The sequence below is a fragment of the Homo sapiens genome, chromosome 4 (assembly GCF_000001405.40).
Source record: "Homo sapiens chromosome 4, GRCh38.p14 Primary Assembly".
Taxonomy (NCBI): Eukaryota; Metazoa; Chordata; class Mammalia; order Primates; family Hominidae; genus Homo; species Homo sapiens.
The window spans coordinates 8836037-8846075 of record NC_000004.12 but is presented as its reverse complement, the minus strand read 5'-3'; the positions used below and the strand labels follow the sequence as shown (position 1 = coordinate 8846075).

Here is a 10039-nt window from a genome sequence, read left to right as displayed (position 1 = left end):
CCTGGATTTTGTTTGTCACTGTCGTGTAACTTAGCCTATTATGATGAATGCACATTCATTCCCTTGTTTAACCCTGGGGGCACACTGTTAAATGTTTGTGGACACAAATTTTGAGCACTTAAAATAGATCACATTCCCTTCCCTTTTCCCCTCTCTCTCCTTCCCTTCTCTCCCTCCTGGGTGGCAGCCAGCCTCTCTACCATCTTTGTGGAAATTAGGAAAAGACTTGCCCTCCAGCTCGATGCAGTTTTGGGCTGTTCAGCTTGATGAGCAGTGAGCAGAGAGTGAGCTGAATTTCAGCCTTGACCCGCTCCCTTGGCCAGGCACTTTTGAGCAGTGCACAACCCATACAACAGTCCAGGGTGACCCAGTTATTCATCCATCCCCAAACTGGGTGTAGAGTGAGTACCAGGCCCTGAGTTGGGCTTTGCAGGTTCAGAGAGCATAGGACGCTCTGTGTGCCTCAAGGAGCTCACTTTGGGGGAAGCAGACAGGACATAGAATAGCTTTCATTCTGGTCAGCATTGAGGGAGGGATCTCAGGGAGCCTCTGACCAGAGAAGGCACAGAAGCTGTGGGAAGCTCCTCAGCAGCACGGCGGGGGCAGCGCACACTGCGAGAGGCAGGCTGTTCAATATCTGACGTGTGGAAGCTTCAGCAGGCAGATGGGAGGGGTGAGGCAAGGAGAATAATAACGATAAATCATAGCTAGAACCTTCTGGACTCTTCTTTGCTAAGAGGAGCTAAGCAGCATTTGCTGCTGCCTAGGGGTCGTTACTTTTGGATTCGTCCAGGGGAACGCTGTGGGGTTGGGGTCTTGGCCTCAGAAGGCCCTTTCTCTCCAGCCATCTCCCCACCTGCTGTGCCCATCTGTCCTTGGCATCATAAGGATGAACATCCAGCCCAGGGCGTGGGGCAGCCGGGAGCACCCTGCACAGCCAGCCCAGGCACAACACGGCAGGGACTCCTCAGCAGCGCAGACTCACCTCCATCCTCCACATGTCCCAGTTGGGAAAAAATTCTTCCATTGATCCACCAACATTTACTGGGGGCTTCTTTTTTAATAACAGTTTTATTGAGATATAATTCACATACTGTAGAATTCAGCCTTTTAATTGTACAATTCAGTGTTTTTTTAAGCATATTCATAGGATTGGGGTGTAACCACCACCCCAATTTTAAATTTTAGGATCTAATTTTAGAGCATCTTCTTTTTCTTTTTTCTTTCTTTCCTTCCTTCCCTCCGTCCCTCCCTTCCTTCCTTCCTTTCTTTTCTTTCTTTCATCTTTCTGCTTTCAGATGGAGTATCGCTCGCCCTGCCACCCAGGCTGGAATGCAGTGTTGCAATCTAGGCTCACCGCAACCTCCACCTCCCTGGTTCAAGCGATTGTCCTGCCTCAGCCTCCCAAGTAGCTGGAATTACAGGCATCTGCTGGCAGTCCACTAATTTTTTGTTTGTTTTTTATTAAAGACAGGGTTTCACCATGTTGGCCAGGCTGGTCTCAAACTCCTGACCTCAAGAGATCTGCCTGCCTTGGCCTCCCAAAGTGCTGGGATTACAGGCATGAGCCACTGCACCCGGCCTCTTTTGTTTTCTTTTTTGAGGAAGGATCTTGCCTTATCACCAGGCTGGAGTGCAGTGATGTAATCTCGGCTCACTGCAGCCTTGACCTCCTGGGCTCAAGCAATTCTCCTGAGTAACTGGGACTACAGGCACACATCACTATGTTCAGCTAATTTTATTTAATTTTTTAGATATGGGGGTCTTGCTATGTTGTCCAGGCTGGTCTTGAACTCCTGGACTCAAGAGATCCTCCCACCTCAGCCTCCCAAAGTGGTGGGATTACAGGCATGAGCCACTGCACTGGGCTTAGAACACTTTCATTACCCCTCAAAGAAACCCCATGCCCTTTAGCAGTCACCCACCTTTTCTCCCTACTCCCAGCCCTGGCAACCACTAATCTACTTATATCTCTATGGATTTGCCTATTTTGGACACTTACGTAAATGGAATCACGTTTGTGGCCTTTCGTGTCTGGCTTCTATCACTTTGTGTAATGTTTTCAAGGTATGTAACAGGATTTCATTCTTTTTTATGGCCAAATAATATTTTGCTGTATGGATAGACCTCTTTGTCCATTCATCAGTGGATGGACATTTGGGTTATTTCCACTTTTTTGGCTATTATGAATGGTGCTGCCATGTACACGCATGCACATCTTTTTAAGATGGTGATGTTCTCAGTGCCCTTGGGCACATACCTAGGAGCGGAATTGCTGACTTATGTCATAACACTCTGTTTTTGAGGAGCTGCCTGACGATTTTCCAAAGTGGCTGCACCATTCTACTTTCAGCAGTGTGTGAGGGTTCCCATTTCTCCACATCTTCACCAGCATTTGCTATTATCTGCCTTTTTTTTTATTCCAGCTGTGATGCTGGGTGTGAAGTGGTATCTAATTGTGGTTTGATTTGCATTTCCCTAATGACTAATGATACTGAGTATCTTTCCATCTATTTATCTGCCATTTTTATATCCTTTTTAGAGACATGACTATGTGAATCCTTGGGCTATTTTTAAATTGACTTATTTGTCCTTTTATTGTTGGGTTGTCAGAGTTCTTTATATATTCTGGATACAGGTTCTGAATGATATATATGTGTTGCAAATATTTTCTCCCATTCTTTGTGTCATCTTTTTACTTTTTGGATGGAGTGCTTGGAAGTAAAAAGCTTTACACTAATTTACGTTAATTTTCAGGCAATTAATAACAATGGTGACTGTCCCATGCCAGAGTAGTGTATATATTGGCCCATTTAAGCTGCACATCAACCTATGAAGTCAGGACTCCCATTGTCCCCAGGCCATAGTTGAGGAAACAGAGGAATGGAGAGATCAAGTAAGAGGCTCCAGACAGTGAACCTAATATAGACAGAGGCAGGGCCTGGACCTGGCATCTGGTTCCGAGCTCTGGCTCTTCACCACCATGCCATCGGGGCTCTGCATTGAAGCCTTCACCATTCAGAGGAGACAGGAAGGTGGGCTTGTAGTTGTACCAAGAAGCATTATTGCCTCTTGCAAGCATCAGAGATCTTCAAGGGAGGGATAGTTCTCTTCCAGGAGTGGGGCATCAGAGGATGGGCTCCCAGGCTCTCAGCAAACAACAATGTTGCTGGGCCTCACTACATCCTGGCTGCTCGTGTATGGCTCTCATTCCCTCATTAAAGAGGCCATTTGCCCCACCACCATCATCTCTACCACATCATCATCACCGTCATCATCACCAGCACCATCATTACCACCACTATTACCACCACCACCATCATCACCATCATAATCACCATCACCATCATCACCACCATAATCACCATCACCATCACCACCATCATCACCATCACCATCATCACCACCATAATCATCATCACCACCACCATAATCACCATCACCATCATCACCACCATAATCACCATCACCACCATCATCACCATCATCATCATCATCATCATCATCATCATCATCATCATCATCATCATCATCATCATCATCATCACCATCATCATCATCATCATCATCATCATCATCATCATCATCATCATCATCATCATCATCATCATCATCATCATCATCATCATCATCACCATCATCATCATCATCATCACCATCATCACCACCATCATCATCATCATCATCATCATGACCATCACCATCAACACCACCATAATCGCCATCACCACCATCATAGTCACCATCACCATCATCACAACCATCATCACCATCAACACCACCATAATCGCCATCACCAGCACATCACCATCACCACCACCATTATCACCATCACCATCACCATCACCATCATCACCACCATAATCACCATAATCACCATCACCAGCACATCACCATCATCACCACCACCACCATCACCATCATCATCATCATTAACATATCACCATCACCACTGTCATTACCATCACCACTGTCACCACCATCAACATCACTACCACCATCACCACCATCAACATCACTACCATCACCACCATCAACATCACTACCACCATCACCACCATCAGCACCACCACATCACCATCACCATCACCACCACAGTATCACTATCATCACCATAATCACCATCAGCATAATCAGCATCACCACCACTAACATCATCATCATCACCACCATCGCCATCATCATCACCACCATCACCATTATCATCAACACTACCATCACCATCACCATCATCACTGTCATCACCGTCACCACTGTCATCACCATCTTCATCATCATCATCATCATTTCCATCATCATCACCACCTCCATCATCACCATCACCACCATCACAATCATCACTGTGGTGGCACTGAGAAGGTGTACTGAGCCCCTCACTTGGGGCCCGGCCCAGAGCTCTGTGCTTTACATCTGTCACCTAATTTAGTCATCCCAGCTGCCCTACAAACTGGGTCTGAGGCTCAAAAAGGAACAGTCACTTACCCCCCAACCCCATAGCACCTGTTGAACCTGACCTTTGCTCTTAACCAAGTCCTGCCCATCCATCTTACAGATATGTGAATGGAGGACCTGGTATTAGGGACTGAGGGAAGGTGAGGGGAGGTGGGTACTGGAGTAAAATCCTGGCCAAAGTGGAGGGCTGGCCAAGCGGTCCCCAGACTGTGGCCTCCAGGAAAAGATGCTTCAGCAAGCCCTGAGAGAGGGAGGCTAGAGGCTGGGCTCCCAGGCGTGAAGCCATTCTGGACAAGGGCAAGGGTTGGGGGACCACGGCCAGCACTATCAATTAGTGCAATTAGGCGTCAGGACGGAGGCCTGGGCGCTAATTGCCTGGTGACCAGCCGAGGTGCTCAATAATGGATTAGCTGAGTGCTGTGGCCACAGCAGAGTATGGCCTTCACCTCCTGGGGTCAAGGCCAAGTGCTCCAGGGATGCTTCCTCTCCTGGGCGCAGCCCAGACCTCCGCAGCTATGCACCGCCCCTCCCTTGCCTCTGCCCTTTCCCCAGGACTGAGAAAAGCCAACCCAGGTGGGCAAATACTGTGGTCACAAGCGTCCTGAGGTCCCTCATCCAGGCCCTGGCGGGGAGGCCTCTCCCTCTGCCGAGACCCCCACCTCTCACACGTGGGCTGTCTGGGGATTTCAGCCCCCTCTCTCCAGGAAGCACTGGGTCAAGCACCATCTACAGAGGGGGACACCCTCTCCTGGCATCTTGGTCCCCCTCTGTAGATGGGGGGCCACTTGCCTACCTTGCCTCCCTGCTGGGATAAGAGGGGTCCATGTTCCTGAAAGCTCCTTGCAAGAGCTGCCACCTGGGGCGGCTCAGCCCCGCTGGTGGAATTGGATAGTGCAGTCCCAGCCACCCAGAATGGTTCCTGTCTCTTCACCCTTCCTCACATACCTGACTGGGCCAGGTGGAAGACAAGGGGGTGGGGCTGGTCTCTAGGGACCTGGAAGCTGGGCCAGGCACGGGACTTTCTCCTGAGGGCAAGGGGGAGTCACTGAAGGGCTCTGAGCAGGGTGCTTTGGGCCCCTTTTGCATTGTAGAACAGTCCCTTGTGGGGGCTGTGAAGAGGGGCTGCAAAGGGGATGGGGCAAGAGCCAGGGTGGAAGGGCCTGTCCCGAGCCAAGCCGGGTGTGGGGAGGAGGCACAGATGTGCTGGACCTTGGGTGACAGTAGGTGAGCCCTTGGGACTGGCTTGAGGGAAGAGGCTCTCTTCACTCTTCACTCACTCTTAAGTTTCAGCTGTTGGCCCCCTCCTCCAGGAATCATCCTGCTCTGCCCCTGGGGCCTCATAACATCACCTTCTTTGTCCCCACCCTCGTCACTCTCTGACCCCATCTCCTGCTCTGGGCTGCAGGCCTCATGTTTCATACCCCCCACCCCGCCCCGGGCAGGCTCGACTCCTCTCTCTGTCTTCCTGGGCACAGAGGAAGTTCCCATGCAACCCTGGCAGGGCTGACCTTCCCAAGGTGCCCAATTGCGCCCATCTGAGTTCCACTGCCTCATGCAGCAGCTCTGGGCAGCTGAGGCACAGGATTGTTGTTATTGTTTTAAATTTAATTAATGAACTTTACTTTTAGAGCAGTTTTAGGCTCACAGAAATATTGAGCAAAAAGCACAAAGAGTTCCCATATTCCCATATCCCCATATTCCAAAATCCCCATATCCCCATATTCCAAAATCCCCATATCCCCATATCCACATAGTCCCATCTTCCCACACCCCCATATCCCCATATTCCAGTATCACCATATCACTGTGTAGCCTTTTCAGATGGGCTTCTTTCACTTTGTGACATGAACTTAGGGACTCTTCATGGCTTTTCATGGCAGAATAGCTCGTTCCTTTTGAGTGCTGAATCATATTCCATGGTCTGTACCACAATTTATGTATCCATTTGCCTACTGAAGGACACCTTGGTGGCTTCCGGTTTCTGGTGACCATGAATAAAGCTGCTATAAATGTCATGTGCAGGTTTTTGGGTGGCTGTAAGTTTTTAATTCATTTGAGTAAATATCAAAGAGCGCAATCGCTGGATTAGATTTTAATTACATTTAGTTTTGCAGGAAGTTGCCAAACTGCCTTCCAGAGCAGCTGTGCCAATCTCTCCAGGCACTCCTCCTGAGTGATCCCGCAGTGGGGCAGGGTGCTGGCTGAGGGCTGCTGGGAGGGGGTGTCCATTTCCTTAGCACCCCCTCAGACAAAGAGACGTGGACAATGTGGAGGGGAAATTAGGAACCGCAGGGCAGGGCCGGACAACGTGGGTGATGGGGGTGCTGCTTTATAGGGGTCAGGGCAGTAACGCATAGAGGTGCTAAGCAGGGCAGGCTGCCACCGACGACCACGGGTAGACGATGTCATGGAGGACGTCCTCTATGGCTGCGTGTCCCTCAGGCTGCTGCACGGGCTGGGGTCTTCCTCGCTAGTCCTCGCCGGCATCCCCCCGGCCTTTCCCGTCCCGCATGAGGAGCAGGCCTGGCTGTGAGATTGGAGGGCATACAGGGCCATCGTGGACATGGCAGCGGCTCTAGTGTTCAGGTCCTCAGAGCCTGATGAAATGCCACAAGTCAGCATGCCTCCAACCCTCCAGTGCCCGGGATCCTGCTGGGCCCGTGATAACGCCGATTCGGAACCTGTGCTAGGGCCTGAAACTGCATTCTAACAAGCTCCCAGGTGATATCAGGCAGCTGGCCCAGCGACCACACTCTGAGAAGCCAGGCGTGAGCTCTAGACAGCCATGCACACATTCTGAAATGTCACCCAGATTCTGAAATGTCACCCAGATTCTGAAATGTCACCCAGAAACCTTCCGGAAGCAGCTTTGAGAAAAAGGATTGGCTTCTCTTTCTGGCTCCAGAACTGATTGGCTGTGTGATGCTGGGACAGTCATGGCCCTCTCTGCTCTGGAGTGTCTTCAGAGATAAAACAAAGCCTGGGACCAAGCCGTAGCAATTCTATAATCTGAGTGCCACCTTCTGTTTATGGAGTGCCTCAGGTATCAAACAGCATTGATTCATGACCAGAAATCTAGAAAACATCACCCCCATTTCACAGGTGAGAAAACTGAGGCTCTGACAGTGTCTCGGCAGGGAAGTTACTGCCCAGCTTTTCGGCGGCAGGGGCCAGCCTTGAACTCGAGTTGGCTAGCTGCAAAGCCCTTGTTTTTTCTCCATCAAGCTGTCTCCTGTTTTACTTGAAGAATAAAATAAAACTTTCTCACAATGAGAGATGAGACGTGAAAAGGGTTTGAATTTCTCAATCCAGAGAACAATCATTGCTTAGGCAAAGGCATTTGTGGTCCTTTCGATTTCCTCTAAAATAGTTTTTGCAAGTTGATGAAAAAGGTTTGTTCTCTGTAGTCTAAGGAAGTGAGTCAGTAAACAATAAAATCGGCATTCTCATAATTAGCTCTTAAACTGTTCCTCCGTATGAAAGTTTCCCCCAGTCCAAGCTCCATGTTGCTTCTTGCACATTCTTACTATACAAATCTGAACAATTTTTGACAAGATTTTTGAGTTTTGTCAGATGTGAATTGTTAAGATTTAATTGAAAAAATGAACAGAACACAGCCACTATTTCAAAGGGAGTGACCCAGAACCAATTAGAATTTAGTAACAATTGACCATTCACCACTGAAATCCATGTTGAGAATCAGATTAAAGCCACTTTAATTCCCCCCCTTGTTCCTGAACTCAAAATATCATTAGTGGGAGATTTCCCTGAATTTTTTTCCAATCAATTTTCCTGGTTTTAAAGGTGAAGTTCAACTGGGGGGACTGTGCTGAGGAGGGTGCCGGCTGGTGATCTCCAGGGCTGAGATGATACACAATATAGGTTACCATCTTGAAAAAACAGGTCAGGCCGAGCAACATTCCTCGTCAAATTGCTGTTGACAGCCCAAACAGGAGATGGAGGAGGGCCACAAAAAGGCCCTTTCATCTGAAGACAACACAGCGTATAATTGGTCATTCTTTCCTTGTCTGGCCTCTCCTTCTCAGCTGGGGGAAATTTCCCAAACAAAGCCAGGCCTTCCTAAGGCAACTTCTTAATCCTTTCTGGCAGATGCGCCCGGGGAAGTGTCGGCTGAGAGGACAGGGCAGGGCGCTGGCTGGGCCTGTGTGGGCACGGTGCCTGGTGCGTAGTAGGCACATAGTAGGTGCTTCTGGCCGCGGAGTCGGTGAATGGTCGGTATCAGGAGCTGTGGCATCTGGCTCGTTAGCTCTGTCTGTGGCACGAGGGCAATGGCCGAGCAGATGTGTGTGAAGCAGCTTTTCCTGATCCATCCCAGACCTCCACTGCATGACCCCATAGCAGGAGCGGAGGCCACATTCTAACAGACGAGAGCCAGAGCTTCACTTGGGCTCCAGCATCTTCCAGTCCAGCCTCATTTGTGCAATCCACGACTGCTTCCTGGGCTTTTCCGGCTCATCTCTGAAGGCCTCCTCGTCTGGCTCCAGGTCCTGGTCTGCTTCTCTGCCCAGCTCCTGACGGTCACCACTGTCTGCCGAGCACACACCAGGTGCCAAGTGCTGCGGGGGCTTTGCGTCATAGCCCTCCGGGAACCCTACAGGGAAACAGAGGCTTGGGGAGGCTGCGTGGCCTTGGACTAGACCCCCTTCCCACCCTGCAGTGCTCACAATCCCACCGCCCGTTTCCCAGCGCTGGGTCCTAGAGCTTCTAGAAGCAGGGCACTGCCCCATTCTGGGTCTAGTCCCAGGGAGTGGAAGAGCTCAAACCCAGAACCAGGCACATCCTGGACTTGATTTTTGCAGGACAAGATGAGTCACAGACACGAATGTCCAGGCCGGACTGTGCCGCGGCTGTTACCTCATTATTACTTTAATGTCACCTTGAGGAGCGCCCTGGAATTCGCTGCCTCCAACGCAGCCTTCCCATTAGCCATGTTGTCACATCCAATCCCAAACTGGTTTTGGTACATTTATTTGCATTTCCAGAAGTCGAGTAAGACCCCAAAGTGTTTTCTGAGTATCAAAGTCCAAACGCAAACAGAAACGAGCAAACAAAAACACCCCACAGGCGTTTAGAATAGGAAGTCTGGGGTGATCTTCAGGGGACCCCTGAGTATTCGCATCTCAGGCAGTTAGAATAGGAAGTCCGGGGTGATCTAGGGGACCCCTGAAGATTATTCAGATCTCAGGCTTTTAGAATAGGAAGTCCGGGGCGATCTAGGGGACCCTTAGTATTCACATCTCAGGTGTTTGGTGTCTTAGTTTGGGTCCCCAGAAGAAGACACGGAGACGAGGACTTATTTGGCAGATGATCCCAGGAAACACAGGTGGGGAATGGGGAAAGGAAGTAGTGAGTGGCTTAGAGTCAGAGGGGCTTCCACAGCGAGCACCTGGAGCTTCATCCTGTTGGGAAGATGTTGGATGCCGTGTAGAACAGGGGCCCGAGAGTTACCCCCAGTGGTGTGGGAGCTGGGGTGTTTATCCGGCTCCCACCTGCTTCCGGGTGGACGGGCCATTCATTCCCTGGGCACATCTGGCTGCCTGCCCTGCACACGGCAGAGAAGGGCCTA

The 10039-nt window shown here is 50.0% G+C and overlaps 1 annotated feature.

Annotated features, from left to right (window-relative positions):
• Positions 8204 to 8817: an enhancer, noted in NCBI's record as "NANOG-H3K4me1 hESC enhancer chr4:8838985-8839598 (GRCh37/hg19 assembly coordinates)". NCBI's record gives its function as "activates a minimal SCP1, AML or CMV promoter by ChIP-STARR-seq in naive H9 embryonic stem cells {active_cell/tissue: H9 hESC(naive)}" and the evidence as "EXISTENCE:reporter gene assay evidence [ECO:0000049][PMID:30033119]".